Source organism: Homo sapiens, chromosome 11 (genome assembly GCF_000001405.40).
Source record: "Homo sapiens chromosome 11, GRCh38.p14 Primary Assembly".
NCBI classification, from domain to species: Eukaryota; Metazoa; Chordata; class Mammalia; order Primates; family Hominidae; genus Homo; species Homo sapiens.
Window position 1 is genome coordinate 97914500 of NC_000011.10, and position 24851 is coordinate 97939350.

A 24851-nucleotide genomic window follows, 5' to 3' on the forward strand; every position below is an offset into this window, starting at 1 on the left:
TTAGCTATACTTCTTTATTTCTTTAAAACTTACATCCTATATTGTTAACTCATCACAGTCAAGTTTGAATAATATACAACTTTATTTATAGTGTGAAAATCTTGCAAATATACACATCAATTTCTCACTGACTTCTATTATACTGTTGGTGACATATAATTTCCATATATGTATAAGTATATATGCATATATAGTATATATAAGTATATATGTAGTATATATGTATATATAGTATATATACGTATATATGTAGTATATATGTATATATAGTATATATACTATATATGTAGTATATATGCATATATAGTATATATAAGTATATATGTAGTATATATGTATATATAGTATATATACATATATATGTAGTATATATGTATATATAGTATATATACGTATATATGTAGTATATATGTATATATAGTATATATACTATATATGTAGTATATATGTATATATAGTATATATACATATATGTAGTATATATATGAGCATATGTGTATATATAGTGTATATATATGTATATGCGTGTGTATATATGTGTATGTATATGTATAAACCCTAAATATATTGCTACATTTGCATTAATGATTAGAAAAATGTTTTATATTTTCTGATATTTTTGCCATGTTCATCGTTCTTTATTCCTTTGTTGAGACCCAAATTTTAATCTGGTGAAAAAATCTACCTTGATTTTTCTTTCCTCTTCTTTCTTTTTTTTTTAGTGCAAGTCTATCTACTGACAGTAAATTTCCTTAGCTTTACAGCTTTTGCTTTTCTTAAAATGTATTTGTTTTATGTCAGCTAAATTTCTTAAAATAATTTGAGTGTAGAATTCTATGTTGATGTTTTTTCTCTCAGTATTTTAAAAACATCACTCCTTCACATCTAATGTAGTTTGTAACAGTAAGCCACCAGAACCTTTTATTACAAAATGTTCTTTTTCTCTGATTGGTCACAGAAAAGAATGTTTAGTGGACATCAATTCATTCTATGACAGCCCTCATCATTACTTAGTATATTCATTTATATGAAGTCATTTGACAACTTAATATAATCATAATTGCCATTTTATGTATTTTGATTTAGTTCCATTTTGATTTAGTTCAATTAATTTAAACATTTCAGAATTTCTCTCCCTGAAATGTTTGAATTTTCAAAATGAGAAATAATTTGCAATTTGCCCATCTAGAACCTGATATTTTCTGGCTGATAAATCAGTATTTGTAAAGCAAATGCAATTGTAGAGGAGTATCTTCTACGTGAAAAATATTTGGTGTCATTTCCCCAAAGCACAATGTATTGTACTATCATGCCTTTTTGATCTCTCTCCTGTTTCTTATTAAGTCTGGAATGTCATTTCCATTTTTGGATGACTGAAAAATTCTCACCAATGCAAAAATTAAGGTTATTAAAAAATTTTGAAAATCAGGATGTCAGTACAAAATGGAATCCTACTTTGAATTTTGAAGTTAAAGAATCTATGATCAACTATTTCAAAGACATTTAATTAACAGATGTACTAATAACTAATGCTATAATACTACTCCCCCTCTTTTATCCTTTCATTTATAAATGGGTCATTTTCTCAGTTCTTATTACATATTTAACATTAGTAAAGATGTAGGGAATGTAGAAATGAGACAACAAGTGTACAGCCCTCAAATAGTTACAGTTTAGTAAAGATATTTACAAAATTAACAGTATGTCAAGGAACAGTGCAAGGAGGACCTTAACTGAGAACTGTGCTCTGAAATAAAAGAATTTCCTCAACCTGGAAGATCAGGGGATGTTTCACTGAAAATGTGGCATTTAAATTGAGCCATAGTACCCACATATTTGAATTCGTAAACCCAAGACCAGAGAACAAATCAATGCAGCTCATGACTCAAAGCAACAGGATACAAAACTAAAGTGATGGGAAAATAATGAGTTTAGGAAGCATGCTTGTACCCAATTCCATAATCAGGAACAAATTACTTAAGTTTCGATTATCAGGTCTTCTATATGAAGAACATATTGGTGATATTTAAATGTGATAATTAAATGTGATAATTTACTTAAATCACATGGTGGATAATAGGTTCTTAATAAAATATAGCTCTCAGAGAGTGTGTTCATAAAAGCAATAACACTCCTTATGAAGAAAGAATCAGCTATAATATTTATTTGCTTCTTTTTTTCTTACATACATTTATCCTTCCACTCCTTCTCCTCCTCTTTTTTTCTCAGTCTCTGTGTTCATCACTTTATGGTATTCAAAGCATAATCTCAAACCCAGTCCTTCATGGTTCTATGAACTGAATTACTTAGAAGTTATTTTTATCACCACATTAAATAGGAGGAAACTTCTGATCCATCATCAAATGTGTTTCTGAGCAGCAATGTACATGCTGGTAAGTATTTGTTGATAAGACATAGCATTGCCTTGAAAGGAAAAGAAGCATCATATATTCATCATTTTTCCACCTAAATAACATGACGGAGCAGTATGTCACACTTATATGTATTTCTTATTCAACCAACTAACCAGTGCTTTTTCCTTCTCCAAAATACTTACATTCTCCTTTCAGGAGATTTTGTTTGAAAACAATCTTCAGCCATGATATAAAGAAAGAAAGTTTTTAAACCGATTTTGCAGCATACCAAGGGATTGAATTAGGTAGAAAAGCTGCATGCAACATTTCACATGCATGTAAAAATAGATACCCTTTTAAATTAAAGAGACATATTTTTGTCCTTGAATATTCTTGAGGACTTCAAGCGGAACAAAAGTTTACAAGAAAACCAATTTTTGCCTTCTCAAAATAGATTTATGGCTCAGGCTCAAAGTTAACATTTTATAGCGGTCCAATTTTAACATTTGCACAGTTCACTTTAAATAAAATAAATTCAAGATAAAAATTCATTGCATTCCACCTTAGATGTTTATATACAGATTTACTGAAAGGGAGGTCTGATAAATTAATATCTGATAGCCTGAGTACAATTTATTCAATTCAGTAATCAAATCTTTTGTTCTGTAGTCATTGTGTTGTTTTTAACGTACAAATTATATCTAATAATCATGACCATTACATGTATTTTTAGAAGTTAAATAACGCTCATGTAACTGAACATTGTTTGAATTTATTTTAAGGAATGTTGGTTTATTTTTAAAGCATCATTCAAATTCATGAATAATCGAGTTCTTTGTGTTTTTACATAATATACACCATTTATGAAAAAAATGGAGCAATGTGATTTTGGTTAAACAGAGATTAGATCAATAATTCATGAACATCTGCATAGAGTGATGGCTAAACTATTTTCATGTCATGAAAACACTGAAGTGAAATCATAATAAGAACTTATGTTAATTAAACCACATTAAAATATTTTATCAAACCAAAAATGCTTTAATCTGCCTTTATTTGACATTTAAACTTAACAACTCATCTGAAAGCCATTTTCTCACCAATAGCTGATTATTTGAAATAAATATAAATAATACAGCATAATAGATAACTGTGCTACTGTTACAGGGTGAAAATAAATTATTAAAAATTATTTATGTTCAATTTGTACTATGTATCCATATTAGCAGAATACATATAAGACAGTGATTTTAAACAAAGATTTTAAATTTAGACTAGTGCAACTTGGTATGATGGTTCTGCCCATTACCCTTTGACCATTGGACCATCATTCTCCAAGTTTCATTTTCTTCCACCGTAATAAGGGATAATGATATCTGTCATATGAAGTTGTTTTGTGGAATATGTGAGGGATTGTATCTAAATTTCCTTGAAAAGGTCTGCAAAAATCACTTATGTTAGTTTCTTCTAAACAAGAAAGATAAACTGAAAAAAAACCTTAGAAGTTGTTTATTTTATATGGATAAATAATGCTTAGCATTTTTTTACATTAGCGAATAATATGGGAATGGAAAATATAACAAATAACACTAGTTGCTAATCTTATTGCCATATTTTTATTGTAGGTGGTTCTCACAAATGCATTGTTAAAAGTATGAGAGTGGTGCAATATGACTGCCAAAAATTCTCACCACACTATAGGATTAGTTTTCTACAAGTTGATAATGATCTTTCTTTAAGGGGTATAGTTGCTTTAGCATTCTTTCAGGATATTCCATAATCTCAGAACTTGAGAATTTCTTTTTCTAACACAACTATATTAGATATTTGAAATACGTAATTCGGGATTAACTCTGTAAAGGAAAGACATGTGGAGGATTATAATATAGGAAGGACAATCCACGTGAGAGCCAGGATTAAGGAGAGGGTTACTGGACAAGGCATAGCGGATATTATATAGCTGTACTTCTGAAACTGCACATACCTACTTTGAGCATTCTTTCTTCAATTAAGATCACCTTCCACCTTGGCATGGCCAGAAAAGAAAACCTGTTGCATTGCTCTTTCTGCTCAATTCTCACATCATTGGCACCGATGATAATTTGTTTGGCATGATGATAATTCTGAAATAAGTTATTTTAAGAGGTCAGCTCTACACTTTCAGGGCAGCTCTCATAATCTAGTTGAACTTCTTTTGGAAAGTCTAGGTTCTAGTAAGAATGATATAACCTAAGGGAACAGACCTAAGTACTGTGCCTTTCTTCTTTACCTATCTTCTAATCACAGGTAAAGCCCAAAGTAAGAATACCCAGATATCGATGATTTGGGGCTGCTTTGCTCATCATCAGGTTCTATGCTAGAGAAAAAAAATGTTCTGGAGATGTCTTAGTCTTCAGAGATTTAGTATGTAAATGTAGTACTCTTTTAAGATGATAGAAATCATCTATTATCATCTTATTGTCTTAAAATCTGTCATCTTAAAATTGAAGATGATTCTCTATCATCTTCCCTTCCACTTATTAGTCGCATTCAACCAATGGGGAAGCATTTTCACAATGTTTTCAGGAAAGGATTGCTCCTATTTTTGTTTAGTCTGATATTTGTGTTTCTCAGTCACTCTCACAAATTGATATCTGTCTTGGTTTTTTTTTTTTCAGCTTAGGAATTGTACACACTTCATGGGCACACATTACCCAAATGTACCATCTCAAGTGAAACTTCTTGAGAATCTTCTACATGGAACCATCTTGCCTCCACCTTAGATGAACTTGCCCACAGACCCCACAGATTCTCATATTTCTAGGAACTGGTTGGTTAAATGTGGTCTAACTTTTATTGGCTGGAGGTGACTTACAAAATTTGAAATGAATAAATTATAGCCTTTTTCTATAAAAAGAGAGTTAAGCTGAATATCAAGACCTGTATATGTGTGTGTGTATTTATAGAAATTTTAAAATCTAGTAAACTTTCTAAAAATTTGTTCCTCAAAACATTAACATTTCCTTTCATATATAGTTGGCTATTAAAAATAAAAACCGCATAGTATTGGCCTCAGATGAACTCTACAACTCATGTAATAGGAATTTGCTCTGGTCCTAATTCAGTTCCCCAGCAAGATAGATATTATTTGTTAACCCAACATATGATTGTCAATGTGCAGACTGTAAAGATAGACATTTATCCAGACCTAAATGCCAATATAACTATACCATAGCACTTACTAGAAAATGCTGTCACTATTCTAGACAGAAATACACAAAATTGTTGTTTAATTTTATATATATCCTTTAATTTAGGTTAAGGGGTACATCTGCAAATTTGTTTTATAAGTAAACTCATGTCACAGGGGTTTGTTGTACAAATCATTTAATTGCCCAGGAACTAAGACTAGTACCAAATAGTTATTTCTTCTGTAGGGGTCTGCTTTGAGCAGATAATCTAGGCCTTTTGGATTTTCATCAGACCTTTGAATTTTGGCAAGTTACTTAACTCTGTGTGCCTATTTTCATCACCTAAAAAAATGAGTACAATAATTATATACACCTCACAGGGATATCTTTATAATTAAAACAAGTAATCATATATAAAGCACTTAAAATAGTACCTGTCACATAATAGATCCTAATCACATAGATATGATTAGGAGATTTTTATTATTAGTCTTGGGTCCAAGTTCCTGGATTATATATACCAAATACAAAATATCAGACTAAATGTATAAGACCCTGCCAGTTTCCACTTACTCTTAGGTATTACTTCTCATTTATCTCATCTCTTATAGATAAATATAGATATTAATAGTTGGCATGGTTGTCCTGGAACCCATCACCTTTCATTATTGGACTGATGAATAATAGAGTCCTAAGAGTAACAGAGAGTTACTCAGAGACTTTTACGACATTTTCTTCCAAACTCTTCTCATGACATTTAAAATATGCCTGAAGTACTTCACAAAGAGCTTTTGCTCTTACCTTATTTATGTGAATGCTGATAATTAAAAATCACTTTCATCTGCCATGATTATATTGTTAAGGTAGAAAAGATTATGCCTTTCGAATGTCAATTAGAGCAGACATATTCAACCTCATTTACCAAATTCAGCTCAGAGGCAACCACATACAGAAATCTGTCCTTATTTTTAAATCTCATGAGCAAATCCCCAAAGAATATTTATGCCTGCATTAATTTATTTGTTTGTTTTTCCTTGTTTGTTCTTTATATTGTGATCTTCAGTGGCCTGTTCTGATTTTTGGTTTGCATTTTGCTTCACTAATGTGGGCAAGAATTTCTGCAGATTGTTCATATTCTTTAAACCTTCTACTATGCCTAACTAGTTTCTACCACAATGAGCAGCATATTTCCTGAAGTAAGGAAATGATTAAAATTTCTGAGATGGTCGCCCTTACTCTCACAAGCTATTGTGAGTAAATAGTAAAAGAGGGACTCTCTTAAGCTGTCCACATTGTGAGTTAGTGAAACCTACCTTGAAATCATTTTGTCATATTCAATAAAAATTATCTATGCTTTAAATTTTAATCCAGGAATTTTACATCTCGAACTTATCTTAACAAAATATTTGGAGAGTTTAAAGAGAATTTGTGTACAATTTGTATACTAACTTCATTCATCAAAATAATATTAATAGAAAAGAAAAATAATGTCCCGGCATGGTGAGTCACCCCTGTAATCCCAGCACTTTGGAAGGCTGAAGCAGAAGGACTGCTTGAGGCTAGGAGTTCGAGACCAGCTTGGACAACATGGCCAAACTTTTTCTCTACAAAAAAATACACAAAATAGCCCGGCATGGTGGTGTGCGCCTGTAGTCTCAGCTACTGCAGAGGCTGAGGTGGGAGGATCACCTGAGCCTGACAGGCGGAGTTTGCAGTGAGACAAGGAGATCACTGCATTCCAGCCTGGGTGACAGCATGAAACCCTGTCTCAAAAGTAAAAATAAAGAAAATAAAAATGATGTACCATTACTAGTGATATTATATTAAATGGAAAAAAATTATATAAATGTAAATTAATTGTACGTAAATTGTTATGATTATTAGGTATGACAGATAAAGCTGAAATGTTGGCTATCGTTTTGTCTACTAATCATAAAAATGTGTGTATACATACATATATATATTTCTTTGGAATTTATTTTACATTTGGCACTTCTCCATTTAAACTAATCTTGTCTTGGCACCTCAGTGAGGGGAGGTACAAAGTTGGAATAAAATAAGTTTAATCTTAGCCTCTAAGCTAAATAATATATTAGGAAAATTGTATGCTAAGTCAAGAATCTGTCTTAATTTCCCTTCCTTTCTCTTCTTAGAGAATTAGTAATATCTGGGCTATAGGAGTAAGAAAGAGCAAAATAATTGAAAGCAGGTAGATATAGGGAATTGAGGTCAGAGAGATTCTGTGCCTACTTTTTTTAATAACTGGGAAGGTGGCAAACTTTACAGGAATTCTACTGATGTTCTTGTCCCATCTAAGCACGATGTGAAAGCAGTAAATTAAAATCCTATGTAGGATTTGGGGCATACAGTCCTAGCAAGTGGTAGATGATAGAGTATCATCATTCTGTGCAGTGTATAGTGACAGAAATATGGCATTAATAATTTCCAGGTTTTGAGAGTTCTTGAAATTATGATGAGATATCTGCAGGTATCAAAGACCAGAGAAAAACAAATCAATAATAGTAATAACCACGAATTTACTAGGAATCATAAAGATGAGACTTTCCACTATTGGTTAAATGGGTATTCAACATAAAATTTAAATTCGGATTAGAAATAAAATTAAAATTTTGTATTTTGTCATCTGACTTTATGATCAGCAAAACTGGTGATTAAAAATAATATAAACCAGGAGGTGGAGCCAAGACGGCTGAATACAAACAGCTCCAGTCTACAGCTCCCAGCGTGAGTGACGCAGAAGATGGGTGATTTCTGCATTTCCATCTGAGGTACCGGGTTCATCTCACTAGGGAGTGCCAGACAGTGGGTTCAGGACAGTGGATGCAGCGCACTGTGGGCAAGGTGAAGCAGGGCGAGGCATTGCCTCACTCAGGAAGTGCAAGGGGTCAGGGAGTTCCCTTTCCTAGTAAAAGAAAGGGGTGACAGATGGCATCTGGAAAATGGGTCACTCCCACCCTAATACTGCGCTTTACCAACGGGCTTAAAAAATGGCACACCAGGAGATTATATCCCACACCTGGCTCGGAGGGTCCTACGCCCACAGAGTCTAGCTGATTGCTAGCACAGCAGTCTGAGATCAAACTGCAAGGCGGCAGCGCGGTTAGGGGATGGGCGCCTGCCATTGCCCAGGCTTGATTAGGTAAACAAAGCAGCCGAGAAGCTCGAACTGGGTAGAGCCCAACACAGCTCAAGGAGGCCTTCCTGCCTCTGTAGGCTCCACCTCTGGGGGCAGGGCACAGACAAACAAAAAGACAGCAGTAACCTCTGCAGACTGAAATGTCCCTGTCTGACAGGTTTGAAGAGAGTAGTGATTCTCCCAGCACGCAGCTGGAGATCTAAGAACGGGCAGACTGCCTTCTCAAGTGGGTCCGACCCCTGAGCAGCCTAACTGGGAGGAACCCCCCAGTAGGGGCAGACTGACACCTCACACGGCCAGGTACTCCTCTGAGACAATACTTCCAGAGGAACGATAACGCAGCAGCATTTGTGGTTCACCAATATCCGCTGTTCTACAGCCACCATTGTTCTACAGCCACCGCTGTTCTACAGCCACTGCTGTTCTGCAGTCACCACTGCTGATACCCAGGCAAACAGGGTCTGGAGTGGACCTCTAGCAAACTCCAACAGACCTGCAGCTGAGGGTCCTGTCTGTTAGAAGGAAAACTAACAAACAGAAAGGACGTCCACACCAAAAACCCATCTGTACATCACCATCATCAAAGACCAAAAGTAGATAAAACCACAAAGATGGGGAAAAAACAGAGCAGAAAAACTGGAAACTCTAAAAAGCAGAGCACCTCTCCTCCTCCAAAGGAACTCAGTTCCTCACCAGCAATGGAACAAAGCTGGATGGAGAATGACTTTGACGAGTTGAGAGAAGAAGGCTTCAGACGACCAAACTACTCCAAGCTACAGGAGGAAATTCAAACCAAAGGCAAAGAAGTTAAAAACTTTGAAAAAAATTTAGACGAATGTATAACTAGAATAACCAATACAGAGAAGTGCTTAAAGGAGCTGATGGAGCTGAAAGCCAAGGCTCCAGAACTACGTGAAGAATGCAGAAGCCTCAGGAGCCGACACGATCAACTGGAAGAAAGGGTATCAGTGATGGAAGATGAAATGAATGAAATGAAGCGAGAAGGGAAGTTTAGAGAAAAAAGAATAAAAAGAAACAAACAAAGCCTCCAAGAAATATGGGACTATGTGAAAAGACCAAATCTATACCTGATTGGTGTACCTGAAAGTGACAGGGAGAATGGAACCAAGGTGGAAAACACTCTACAGGATATTACCCAGGAGAACTTCCCCAATCTAGCAAGGCAGGCCAAAAGCTAGGAGAAGGCAAGAAATAACTAAAATCAGAGCAGAACTGAAGGAAATAGAGACACAAAAAACCCATCAAAAAATTAATGAATCCAGGAGCTGGTTTTTTGAAAGGATCTACAAAATTCATAGACCGCTAGCAAGACTAATAAAGAAGAAAAGAGAGAGGAATCAAATAGACGCAATAAAAAATGATAAAGGGGATATCAGCACCAATCCCACAGAAATACAAACTACCATCAGAAAACACTACAAACACCTCTATGCAAATAAACTAGAAAATCTAGAAGAAATGGATAAATTCCTCGACACATACACTTTCCCAAGACTAAACCAGGAAGAAGTTGAATCTCTGAATAGACCAATAACAGGCTCTGAAATTGTGGCAATAATCAATTGGCTTACCAACCAAAAAAAGTCCAGGACCAGATGGATTCACAGCCAAATTCTACCAGAGGTACAAGGAGGAGCTGGTACCATTCCTTCTGAAACTATTCCAATCAATAGAAAAAGAGGGAATCCTCCCTAACTCATTTTATGAGGCCAGCACCATCCTGATACCAAAGCCGGGCAGAGACACAACCAAAAAAGAGAATTGTAGACCAATATCCTTGATGAACATTGATGCAAAAATCCTCAATTAAATACTGGCAAACCGAATCCAGCAGCACATCAAAAAGCTTATCCACCATGATCAAGTGGGCTTCATCACTGGGATGCAAGGCTGGTTCAATATAGGCAAATCAATAAATGTAATCCAGCATATAAACAGAACCAAAGACAAAAACCACATGATTATCTCAACAGATGCAGAAAAGACCTCTGACAAAATTCAACAACCTTCATGCTAAAAACTCTCAATAAATTAGGTATTGTTGGGACATATCTCAAAATAATAAGAGCTATCTATGACAAACTCACAGCCAATATCATACTGAATGGGCAACAACTGGAAGCATTCCCTTTGAAAACGGGCACAAGAAAGGGATGCCCTCTCTTACCACTCCTATTCAACATAGTGTTGGAAGTGCTGTCCAGGGCACTTAGGCAGGAGAAGGAAATAAAGGGTATTCAATTAGGAAAAGAGGAAGCCAAATTGTCCGTTTGCAGTTGACATGATTGTATATCTAGAAAACCCCATTGTCTCAGCCCAAAATCTCCTTAAGCTGATAAGCAACTTCAGCAAAGTCTCAGGATACAAAATCAATGTGCAAAAATCACAAGCATTCTTATACACCAATAACAGACAAAACAGAGAGCCAAATCATGAGTGAACTGCCATTCACAATTGCTTCAAAGAGAATAAAATACCTAGGAATCCAACTTACAACGGATGTGAAAGACCTCTTCAAGAAGAACTACAAACCACTGCTCAATGAAATAAAAGAGGATACGAACAAATGGAAGAACATTCCATACTCATGGGTAGGAAGAATCAATACCGTGAAAATGGCCATACTGCCCAAGGTAATTTATAGATTCAGTGCCATCCCCATCAAGCTATCTAAGACTTTATTCACAGAATTGCAAAAAACTACTTTAAAGTTCATATGAAACCAAAAAAGAGCCCGCATCACCAAGTCAATCCTAAGCCAAAAGAACAAAGCCGGAGGCATCATGCTACCTGACTTCAAACTGTACTACAAGGCTACAGTAACCAAAACAGCATGGTACTGGTACCAAAACAGAGATATAGATCAATGGAACAGAACAGAGCCCTCAGAAATAATGCCGCATATCTACAACCATATGATCTTTGAGAAACCTGACAAAAACAAGCAATGGGGAAAGGATTCTCTATTTAATAAATGGTGCTGGGAAAACTGCCTAGCCATATGTAGAAAGCTGAAATTGGATCCCTTCCTTACACCTTATATAAAAATTAATTCAGGATGGATTAAAGACTTACATGTTAGACATAAAACCATAAAAACCCTAGAAGAAAACCTAGGCAATACCATTCAGGACATAGGCATGGGCAAGGACTTCATGTCTAAAACACCAAAAGCAATGGCAACAAAAGCCAAAATTGACAAATGGGATCTAATTAAACTAAAGAGCTTCTGCACAGCAAAAGAAACTACCGTCAGAGTGAACAGGCAACCTACAAAATGGGAGAAAATTTTCACAACCTACTCATCTGACAAAGGGCTAATATCCAGAATCTACAATGAACTCAAACAAATTTACAAGAAAAAAACAAACAACCCCATCAAAAAGTGGATGAAGGATGTGAACAGACACTTACGCAGCCAAAAGACACATGAAAAAATGCTCATCATCCCTGGCCATCAGAGAAATGCAAATCAAAACCACAATGAGATACCATCTCACACCAGTTAGAATGGCCATCATTAAAAAGTCAGGAAACAACAGGTGCTGGAGAGGATGCAGAGAAACAGGAACACTTTTACACTATTGGTGAGACTGTAAACTACTTCAACCATTGTGGAAGTCAGTGTGGCGATTCCTCAGGGATCTAGATCTAGAAATACCATTTGACCCAGCTATCCCATTACTGGGCATATACCCAAAGGATTATAAATCATGCTGCTATAAAGACACATGCACATGTATGTTTATTGCGGCACTATTCGCAATAGCAAAGACTTGGAACCAACCCAAATATCCAACAACGATAGACTGGATTAAGAAAATGTGGCACATATACACCATGGAATACTATGCAGCCATAAAAAATGATGAGTTCATGTCCTTTGTAGGGACATCAATGAAACTGGAAACCATCATTCTCAGCAAACTATCGCAAGGACAAAAAACCAAACACCGTATGTTCTCATTCATAGGTGGGAATTGAACAACGAGAACACATGGACACAGGAAGGGGAACATCACACTCCCAGGACTGTTGTGGGGTGTGGGTAGTGGGGAGGGATAGCATTTGGAGATATACCTAATGCTAAATGACAAGTTAATGGGTGCAGCACACCAGCATGGCACATGTATACATATGTAACTAACCTGCACATTGTGCACATGTGCCCTAAAACTTAAAGTATAATAATAATAAAATAAAATAAAATAAAAATAAAAAAATAAAAAATAATATAAACCAAATAGAGCATCTAGATAAAGCTGGTATATTAAACAGATACATCAAGTTTTGCTCTTTTTTAAACCTCTCTATGCAACAGTATGGAAATTATTTTCAAAACATATATCTAGGAGAAAATGAAGAATGAGAGAAAAGTCAACAGTGTAGTTATGAAACCCGAGACCAGATGAGCAAAAGATCAAGGACAGAATGGATCCAAGGAAAACAATTCCCAAGCAGGCAATGGGGATGCCAATCACTAACCTATTTTACACTTTACAGTCCTCCTAAGCCATAAAATTTGGTGATACCAGGAATCTCTGAGAGTATGTGTCTGCAGGCATGTTAGTTTAAATAAAGTTAAGTGGTTAAAAGTCAGTTTAATACGAAGCAAAAACCTTCTCTCATTTGTGCAGCCGGATGGCAGACTTAATAACATTATAGCAAATGCTTAGCTGAGATTGGAGTATACACCGAAATTAATGGATTAGAACATACGCATACTGACACCACCCTCTCCACTTTGATCAGCATTCCCAACTTGGTTTCTAGAACCTGAGCAGCAATACCTTTTCCCAATAAATAAAAAATTGGGCTTTTCTGATATCTGAGTAGATCAAAAAGACATTCCTAATGTACTGATATTGGTATTTTCCAAAGTTAAGGGCCAGGAAAATCACCTTGCCAAGATATTTATTGTTCATAGTTAAGTCTCAAGCCCTCATAACTGATAATCACCTTTTGAGGTTTCAATGCTTGAATACAGGGAATCAATCAAATGTTATCAGACACCTGAGGAAAATTGTTCACATAAAAAGGGACCACCAAAGAAAGAGGAAAAAAAAAAACACAATTTACAGGAAAAAAAATTATGCAAGGTTAAAAAAAAGCTTCAAATTTTGCATTAATATGTTAGAGAAATAGATGTTATTACAATTATAGAACAAGAACATAATATGGTTCAGAAATGAATATACAGGGAATATATAAGCACTCTAAGCTCTTCTACATTAAAAATATAAAAGAAGGAGAGAAAAAAGTTTATCAGAAAACTTTGAAAATAAAGTTGTAAAAAGCCCCTAGAAAATAGCTTAAAACAAAAAATAGGTAACGAGCTGGAGAGAAAACACAAATATTAGGGGACCAATCCTATATAGGAATAATAGAACTTCAGAAATAGAAAAGAGAACCAAGAGAAGAAAATCATCATTGAAATATGCAAGGACATTTCTCAAAAAAGAAAGACAATGCTTAGATCAATGAATGATAGCAACGCACATCATCACTAAATTATAGTGCACATGAAACAAAAAGAAAATTTTACAGAGAAGAAAATGTCAGGATAAATGGAGTAACCATATAATTTATTATGTAAATCAGAACCTCTTGGATATCAAAGCGGGTACTAGCAATAATTATGCTGTAAAAACAGGCATTAAAGGACACTCTTGGACAAATTGGGACACATAATCTATATGTAATAACATAATAAAGATGACTTTATTTTCATAGCAAGATTGAAAATATAATTTTCAGGTGTAGTTTCTTCAAAATTTGAAGGAAAAGATTTAAAATCTGAAATTCTATTTTTGACCAAAACATATGTTAGTGTAAAATCATTTTAATATATACCGGATCTAAAATAAAAACAAAACGAAAGAAAAACCCCAAAACATAGTTGCTAGAAGATGTACTCTACTGAAACAAGGGGAAAAAACAATAAGAAAGGAATGGGGCACAAGAAACAAGATTTAAAAATGAAGAGATAAAGAAATAGTTTATGTTTGAGATTATGGTGAAGGAGGATCCATGGTACAACAGATGGAGAAGGCTGGCAAATCTGAAAAACATAGGATAACAGTGTCCCGAAAAGACTCACTTAGGAATATTAATTGATGGAATACATAATGTGTCTAAACTTCAAAGAGGTAATTAGATAATTGCTGAGGGTTTGGTGTTGCCGTTATTGCTTTAATAAAAACAATATTGAATACCAAGTAAATAAAAATCATACAAATGATTAACTTTCAGGAAAACAAAAAGTGGTGTAAGAAGAAAGGTTAATTGTGGTTAACTGAATGGCTCTGATGTGAACAGAATTTAGAGAGTCATAGCAAAGTAAACAATGAATGTTGATCTAAACAAAATTACAACATGACTGTTTTGAAGACAGGTGAATAGGGAAAGTATGCACGTGTGGTGAGTGAGGTTGAGGGAGGGGTGTGTGTGTGGAAACAACTAAACTGTCACGTTGCATACGAGGAGTAAATAGCACATCCCTAAAACTAAAAAAATCTGAAGAGATAGCATCAGCATGTGTTTTTACAGGCATGATTATAAATACCAAAATAATTACTTAAAAGAGATTAAAAAGTGGTTGCTTCTGGTGAGCGTGAAGTGCAAAATAAAAGAAAAGCAGATGAATTTCTGTTTTTATTGAAAATCTTGTAGAAATAACTCATTCCAAGTATGTTAACATATCTGTTAAAGCTGGTAGAAAATGTTTAGAGGGTAATGAAGATGAAATACATAGAAATTGGGCCGTACCTTCGTTTAGGATTCCATGATGCACACAAGATTGTAGGGACTCTAGGCCATCCTCTCTCTTCTCTGTATAACTATCAAAATCATGTTTCAGATTAAAGGATATTTGAATCTATGTAATTCATACTTTGAATGGATGCATGATTCTTTGCTCTGTCATCCAGCACTGTATGTAGCACACTTAAGCAATAAATATTGTCAGATACATATCTGCACTGTTGCGCTGCCTATAGATTATTTGATTGATGTAGATTAAAATTATATGAGGATATTCACAACCTGACCGAGTAAAAAGACTTGGCCTAAGCTAAAAATAAGGGATCACAAAATTGAGAATGCCATCGAGGTAATTAGGCAGAAAGAAACATAACTAGACTTAGAATTTGAGAATGTGCTTTAATTAAGTGGCAATAGGTTGTGATAGAGATGGTGATGGTGGGGTTCATTATAAGATTAAATTATAGATTTGAAGTCTTCTGTTGGATAATTAGATACACAAATGTAGTTAGGTTTGATCTAATTATCTTGACTTATGGCCAGTAGACTGAAGTTCAATCTTAAATGAAGACAGGCTATAGAAACAAATAATGTGAGAATGAAAAACATTTCCATATCTGTTTACAATATGGGTTAAAACACAATTTGTAAAAATAAAAAGGACTTGAATATAAGTAGAAAAGGTTGGCATAAATTAATGAGAGCGGCTGTGATTAGTGATAGCAACAATGAATATGTGACACCAGTATCACCAGAATTAAATCAAACAAAATTTCAGAATCTTTAATTCTTATTGTCTAATTCACTTCTGAAATGTAGATGAGCTTAGTTCTATATAACATATAAAGGAGCTTACAGTGGGAAAAGTTAGATAGATGGCCTGAGGGTACACAGAACACACTTTGAAGAGCAAGGTGTTAAACCCAATTCAATCTGGTTACATACTTAATGTAGAATTCACTACATTGTAGTGCCCTTCTGCCTTATGCAGTGATTGTCCTGTTACTGTTGCAAACTGTACTGTACTACTGCCTTCAATATTGCCAATGATCTAAGATGATATACTGAAATTACAGGCAATTAATAGAAGTTTTCCATACTTGATTTTGCCAAAACCATCATCTCAGTTCAGTGTTTTGCACATCCCGGGTGTTAAATGCTTATTTTTTGATAAATAAATGTATGAAATACCAATTGTATTTTTGATGGTAAATATTTGGCATTTTAAAGTTATTTTCCTGGTAGAAAAAGTTATTTTCCTTGGTCAGAAGAATATTCAGACCTCACTGTACTCTGTTTCTGACTCACGGTATTCTCTATTTTCCTTAATGCCTTTACATTACTATTTGCATTTAGTAAAATGTCACTTTCCTGAGATTTGGAGCTTATTCTTCTAAAAGCATGCAGAATCCCAAATTGTAGATCAGATAATCCTTTCTTAAGCACAGGTTTTTCAGTGAAGTTACTTTTATTTAATGGTCTTTGCTTACGAGATTTTTTTTCTTCTGCTATGAATAACAGCATAAGGAAAATAAATGAAAATTGAAGCAAGCAGTCTTGAGCCTGAGTCACTGAACTTCATTTGAGGAAATGCATTTTTATTATATATAGTACATTTCCTCTGAGGTAAAATGTCCATATTTTGTGTGAGGTATATATACAAAATTAGGCTAATAATTCATGTACTCTTCTGCATTATAACGTCAAATAAAAATTCCACTCTCTTTTCAAAGTCTGTAAGCTCATTGAGATAAATATTAAGTTGTGATTTATTATATTTTCAATTCAAATTTATCTAAGGAACAGAACAGCATAAACTTTTTATTCAATATTGAGAGGACATCATCTAGCATGTGAATTCAAAATATGTATAAGAATCACCTAAGTGAAACATCCAACACATTGTCTTGTATACAGTATATGTTTGAGGAATAAATTCATTAAATTTTTTAATGCATATATAAAAGACAGAAGGAAAAGAAAGAAAGAGAAAGAAGAAAAAGAAAGAAACTTCATATATTTTGGTATGTCAACCCCAAGAGTCTGGATAGTATGCTGTATATATTAAGATTGTATATTGTTTTTGAAACTATATAATTTCAATGCAGTGGATATTATATATATAGGTTCCTTGGCACTACAACTGAATCAACAACTAGGGCAAAACCAAACAAACTCTTGTTCAGAAAAAAAATGAGAAATATTTCAGTTACATTACCATTTGCTTTTAATATGTCATAAAGACCAATATATATGTCAGGTAACAGACAGCTCTGAAATACAATGAATTTTTTTTTCTGATTAAACTTACAAGTGGTTTTACATTTGCTCACGAAGAAGAGGGAAGCAGAGAAAATTGAAGGAAGAGAAAATCAACCTAACTACTAAGGGTTCCAAATCACAGAGTGCATGCAGCCCGTGCACCAGTGCAGCCCAGCAGATTATTTGCCGTCAGTTAAGCACTATAAATGAACATTCATTCAAATGTACTTTAAATGAATCAAAGTCTTTGCAACTGGCAAAAAAGGGAGAAAATAACATAATTTCAGTGAGACAGAAATAATCTATAGAAACGTCAATGCTCAACCATATTTGGAAAACTATAAGTTACTTAAAGTTGGAGACTAAAATGGAATAAGATATCAATCAAATCTTATAGATACTATATTAAGAGTAAAGAGTAAATGCCGTGGAAAGTGATTGCACAATGGAAATAAATAAACTTCTTGGAATTACTTCATGGTCATTTGGGGTTGTAGATAGAGTCATCCTTTTATCAAGATAAATATTTTCGATTGTTGATTTCTGTTGCATTAGGTCCATGTGCTTTGTGAAGTAGCTATACAGAACATACACTTGAGTGCATATACACACATATTTGGTTGGTTATATAAATATAAACTATGGTGAACACATGCAATAGAATATTATGTAGGTGTAAAAAATAAGTAAAAAGTCTCTAAAAGTTGTGACAGAGTAATTTTCAGAATATATTGCTAAATAAAAAAAGCAGAGTGAGGAGAAACAGGAACACTCATTTGCTGCTGGTGGGAATGCAAAATGGTACAGCTACATTAGATGATAGTTTGGTGGTTTTTTTTCACTCCTTAAGCACACTCACACCATATGATCCAGAAATTGCCTTCTTTGGTATTTGTCTAAATACATTAAAAACTAATTCTCACACAAAAACCTACAGATGGGTGTTTATGGCAGCTGTTTCCAAGATGTTCCTTAGTAGCAGGATGGATAAATAAAATGTGGTAATCCAGTCAATGGAATGTTGTTCAGCTCGCAAATGAAATGAGCTATCAAGCCATTATAAGACATGGAGGAAACTTACATGCATATTGCTGAGTGACAAAAGCCAGTCTAAAAAGGCTACATATTGTATGTTTCCAACTAAATGACATTCTGGGAAAGACAAAAAACTGTTGAGACAGTAAAAAGATCAGTAGTTGATAAGAGTTGAGAGAGAAAAATATAAATAGGTTATGTATGATGATTTTTAAGACAGCAAAATTATTTTTTATATTACATGGTGAATACATGGCATCATTTATTTCACAAATTGCATAACAAGAATAAATCCTGATGAAACTGTACACTTAGGTGATAATGATGTGTCAATGTAGGTTCATCAATTGCAACAAATGTACCACTCTAAAGGGAGATGTTGATAGTGAAGGAAGATGTGGGTATATGGAGGTAAGGGCGATATGGAAACAGTAATTTCCATTCAATTTTGCTGTGAACCTAAAGCTGCTCTAAAAAATAAGGCCTATTTTAAAAAGCAAAATGATATATATCACTTTGCAAGGAAAAAAGGAGGAAACCTGCAAATTTTTTCAAAGAAAATAATAGGAAGGATGAAACAAAACCAATGAATTTGGTTGTCTAGAAGAGATGGATAGTAACAATTAATGGAGGAAGTATCACATTTTAAAGTATATATTTTCATATGGTTTTGACTTCTAGACATAAATTATTTTACATATTAAAAATAAAATTAATAAATATTAAATAAAATATAAAATAGAATACAAAACAATCTACCCGTATGCCAAATTAATAAGACATTCACAAAGAAGGGGAAAAATAGAATTATCTAAATAATTTGACTATATACACAGTTCATTAAAATTTAAAAGAACTACAAATAAATCTTGAACATTAATTAGCACTTTTGATATTCTTACAGTATAAATATACCAATTTCAAAAATATTTTGTATATATCATAGTATTGAGTAAATCAGTAATAAATTGGTATCATTGACAGCCAGAATTGTCAGCATGGAAGAAAGTTATGTAAAAGTGGAATGGGTGGATTACAAGGAAGAACTTTGTGGTGTTGTAATGGAATTGGAGGATTTAATCTAAACTGAAAATTTATTTATCTATATGTTATAAATATGTATGTTATTTTATATACACAGATAAGATACATATGTGTGTATGTTACATACACACATAAAACATATATACATATGAATATATATATATATACCCACACACACGTATATTTATCTGTCTGCTGAAAAGACCAAGAAGGAAACAACGATCCTGATCTTGGTTTCTAAATATTCTTCCCATCAAAGGAAGCAGAACTTTTTGAATAAATGACTGATTCTGGAACTGATGAAGTAGAGCTGCAAAGGCGAGCCTTGAACATTGTCTCATCCCAAAAATTAAAGATGTGCTCAGAAATTGATAGAGACACGTGGAAAGAACATACGATCTTTCAGATGGCCAGGGAAGGGCCTTTTGCACTGCACTTTCTCCTACTACGGGTGATCTGGCTTCTGTTTGACCTCTTCTAACTACTCTTAGCTCCTTCTCCTGGTGCTACACCAATACCTTTTGCTGTTGGAGTCTCTGAACTGAGGCCAAACTTGTTAAGGTGTTCAAACCCAGCTACTTTCTGAAATATTAAATAACTCACAGGAAACCAATGCATTACTGGCAAGCTGTAAAATGGATTATAGTCTGATCTCAGGTAATCTAATGCAGCCTTGAATTTTTTCTTCTATACATTACAGCAGATGTACAGCCTGGGAAAATGAAAGCAATTTTCTGTCCTTACTGTCATAACTCATGTTTACTGCCAATTCTTTTGTAGTCCCTGTCCCTGTCTTTTTTCCTTTCCAAAAAATGATGAGTTGATATTGCAGATACTGAAACCAAGTGGCACCTCTCAATAACCTAAGGAAGTAAAAAAGTAGTCTACCCCAATTTTCGACCAATGTCTGTCTCTCATATATGCAAACACACATACTTACATGTGTGCACACACATGCACTACCGCACAAAATGTATGCATATGTATACATTCTTTTCACTTAAATTGTATTATGAGTATTTCACATATTATTGAATTATCTTTGAACCATGAATTTAAAGACTACATGATATTCTAGCACGTGGTTAAGTTAAATTTTCTTGATAATATATTAATCAATAGTATATTAGTTTACATATAGACTATTTTCAATATTTAATAACATGAATTACATTGTCATAATTATCACTTAGCATAAATATTTGATAACATTTCTGATTATATCATTAAAATAGTTTCTAAGATATACAGAGACAAAGAACTTAGACAGTTTTTTTTTGTAAAGAGACCTATTAGGTTGGTGCAAAAGTAACTGCAGTTTCTGCCATTACTTTTAATAACTCTATATCATTTCTTCAATTGACCTTCTGAATTATATGAAAGCAACAAAAGTTACTGTCAATTAATAATTTATTAATTATTAAGGTATTTCACAATGTTAGTTTTAGAAATGAATCATTTGTAATGGTGACATATCATTAAATTGATAATTTTCTGATTTAGCATATACCTCCAGAGAAGAGTATGACCCCACTTTTTGGCCAAAGGCTTTAGTGGCTGACATTTTGTGGAAATAGTAAATGAGGACATAAAAGAGCAGATTGATAAAACTTAAGTAATTTATATCATATGGGGGGAACTTCCTTCTTAGTTTATCTTAAAGTATTTAATTTTGGTCATCTCGGCAAAGGCCTATTACAGTATGACTTTATATTTTACCATTCTGATTCCTCCACAGTAGCCAATAAATTGCTTTCCTGTATATAATAAATGTGTGTTAAATTGAAATAATTTAAATTCCTTTTATCTAAACCCTACTAAAAATTCTGAGAATTATACTGTTGTAAGTATAGACTCTTATTTTCAAAACAAGTCTGAGACAAACATATTTTTTATTAGATAAAATAAGTAAAAGATAATCCCTTGCAAATACCTGTATCATAACTTCAATTTCAGATAACTTTTGCACTTGTGTCAGTTTTTTAAAGTTTAAATTTTGTACCAAAATTATCTAAAATATTATGTAACAACAATTTCTAAATGCAAAGTTTTGCAATGAATTTTCTTTTACTGGTAAAACTGCTCTTTGCTGAGAAATCATAAAGTTATATCATTGATTTAGTTACTGTATGAAGATTTAAGATCATTTGTGACTGTCAAATAATTCAGTTTATAAGCCATATGAATAAGATATCAAATACAACTTATTTCAGATATTTGGTCCATGCAGACTATTCGAACAAAAGTTTTATTATTTTTAAGAGAAGAACATAGTAATGATTACATTACTATATAGTCAATTAATCAAACTATACCCTCAGATGGCAATCTATGCTGATGGTATATTATGCGTATTTTCATGGTTTTTATCATGGTATATTATGAGTATTTTCATGGTTTTTATCAGTATCTAAGACTCAATTGACAATAACATGGCATACACTACTAGTTTAAAAGATCAAAATAAATATACAAACTTGTTATAATTTATCTCTTCCAAAGTTATATAGTTAAAACTAATCATTTTCTACAGATTGATTTTTCTATTGTCAGAAGTTTTGTCACAATATAAATGGCTTTCATTTGAATAAAATATCTATATTTTACTCATTTGTTTCAATCCCTAAAAAATTAAAATTAGAACAGAACATATTTCTAATCTAGGAAATGTATTTTCTTCTGTAAGATAATTTGAATATAGACATGTAAGTTAAAGCACGTACCTTTTTATGTGGCGACTGTAGGAAGCATTTTCTAGTTTGCCGTCTAATAAAGTGGATGCATCCCTGATGATCAGTTGAAAAAAAAAGAAGTTTCTATCAAAGATGAGTTATAAACTCTCAATTTACATTCCCTGTTACATGCCCATTACGAATGAAATTTCTAAGTAAGATATATTAAATGTAATTGCCTAGGACTAGTCTTTTAGTGATACAAACATAGTCCTTTAGTGAAATATAATTGTATGGTATTAGAACAGTTATTTCTCTTGTGGAAAAGTCAGCAGTTCAGACAGATATTTAGGCAAATGTTAATGATTTTGTCATTACACTATATGTGAACCTTTGTTTATATCTTTCTATTAATAAAAATGATCTTAATAACCACTATAAATTTTGCTGCAATAATGCATTTGCTCTCTGATTAAAAAGGTCTATCAACTAAACACTGCGAAGCTGGGTGAATACTCAAATAATGGGTCTGAACATTTCAGAAAACTTGAGAGAATTTTTTTAAGTAGTGAAATTCCATTTCTGACAATGGTACAGTAGGCAACTGAAACAAACTTTCCATTCACTGAAGGCAACTATAAAAAATTTGACTAACTTTTAAAAACTACGCCAGAAAGAAAGATAAAAAGATAGAGGATGATAAGGAGCCAGGAGTCAGGAATGACTCAAGTCTTGGAGTCATTCAAGCTTGGAGCTCTGTATTTGGGGCCACTTGCCCTTCGATGACTAATTCCAGAAGGGTGGCTGAGAACTCTGAGGGGAGATTTTCACATATTTGCAGGGGCAAGGAGACAGAATTGGAACATAGGGTCCTCATAGTTGAGAACACTGGTGACACTTTTTATTCTTGCTTGGAACGCTAACAGCTGCTCATTAGGAGTAGGTTGCACTGGAAGTAGACAAGCCCTAAAAGGACTGCTGCTTAGCTTTAAATTACAATTCCTGAAACTATAATGGTTGTGAAGCTATAATAGCACCTGAAAACATTTCAAAATGCAAGTGTCCCTGGAAACAAAGAAAAAGCCATTCTGGAGGAAGATGATATCATTTAGATCTAAAATTATTTCTATAAATGATTTATCTAACACAATGATGAGTACACAATATAAATAGGGCTACACATAAGAACAAAAGACAACTAGGAAAAATAACAGAAAATAAAAATAGAACTCAGAAGTCCAAGTGATTGGAGTAGTCATAAAAATACTTTAAAATAACAATGCATGTTACATTTAGGGAGATGAAACTAGTTTGAAAAACTTGCAAAAAAATTGACACTTTCAAAAACAGCAATATAGTAAAGGAGTTAAGAACTCAATGGATAGATTAAAGATAAGTTATAGTTAAATAAAGAGTAAATAAACTGAAAACTACGTCACAGAAAATATTTAGAATAAAGTATAAAGATTAAAATAGAATTTAAAATACAAAAGATAAGAGACAAGACAAGGAAGACACATCAAGAAGGCCTAATATATGTTTAATTGGAATCTAAGGGAAGAAAAGAGAAAAGGGAGAAGCAGTTTATGAAGTTATAATAGCTAAAAAAAATCTAAAACAACTTTTAAAAACAATACATTCAACAGGCCATAACATTTTTAAGAAGGATTTGTCAAAAAGCAATTTACACCTTAGTGCCTCAGAGCAAAACCTCTGAAATGTGAAGACAGAGGAAAAAAATGGGAAAAGGTATCAGAGGAAAAAAAGACGTAGTATTCCAAAAAAATCAAGAGTTTTGCATTAAGATATTTCCAAACAGATCCTGAGGCAAGATCGTGCATACAAATAGTTTATTTGAATGGTGATGAAGGAAACATAGTTAAGGGAATCAGGATATAAGAAAAACAAAGAAGCTAATGTAAGCTGTGTTAGTTGATCAACTGACACTTAATCCTGCTGAGAATCTCCAAAAGCCTCTGTAGAAAGTGCCTTAGAATTACACATCAGCTGAGGACAGAGGTTGTTGTATTTATTCACCTGCTTCCATCCATCACTGATTGAAGGCTACTCTTAGTTCATTAACTTCTAGGCACTACCAGCTGGCACCACATGAGTGCGAAATCTGCTTTTGTAGCTAAAAACAAATTCTAGCTAGATTTGCAGGATATGGGAATAAAAACTTGCAGTGTACAGAAATTGTCAGAGCTTAGGAGTTATAGGAGGACTATTGAGCACATATGCTTCACTTCTCAAAAGAAAAGACAAAGGCTAAGAAAATTGAATGATACTATTTAAATGACCAGGTAAAATAATTGTTAAACCGAAATTTTACAAACAGTGAAAATACTCTACATGAATACTGAAAGAAAATCAA

The 24851-nt window shown here is 33.5% G+C and overlaps 1 long non-coding RNA gene across 1 annotated transcript in view, besides 1 other annotated feature; it reads right to left on the reverse strand.

Moving 5' to 3' along the window:
- Positions 1 to 24851, reverse strand: part of LINC02713 (long intergenic non-protein coding RNA 2713) — a 78303-nt gene that overhangs the window by 35719 nt on the left and 17733 nt on the right. Inside the window, exons 3-4 of the long non-coding RNA NR_183633.1 lie at positions 22529 to 22591; positions 4339 to 4477 (exon numbers count right to left, since the gene is read on the reverse strand). This is a non-coding gene — a long non-coding RNA (long intergenic non-protein coding RNA 2713). The remainder of the gene's footprint in view (positions 1 to 4338; positions 4478 to 22528; positions 22592 to 24851) is intronic.
- Positions 24156 to 24712: an enhancer, noted in NCBI's record as "OCT4-NANOG hESC enhancer chr11:97809655-97810211 (GRCh37/hg19 assembly coordinates)". NCBI's record gives its function as "activates a minimal SCP1, AML or CMV promoter by ChIP-STARR-seq in primed H9 embryonic stem cells {active_cell/tissue: H9 hESC(primed)}" and the evidence as "EXISTENCE:reporter gene assay evidence [ECO:0000049][PMID:30033119]".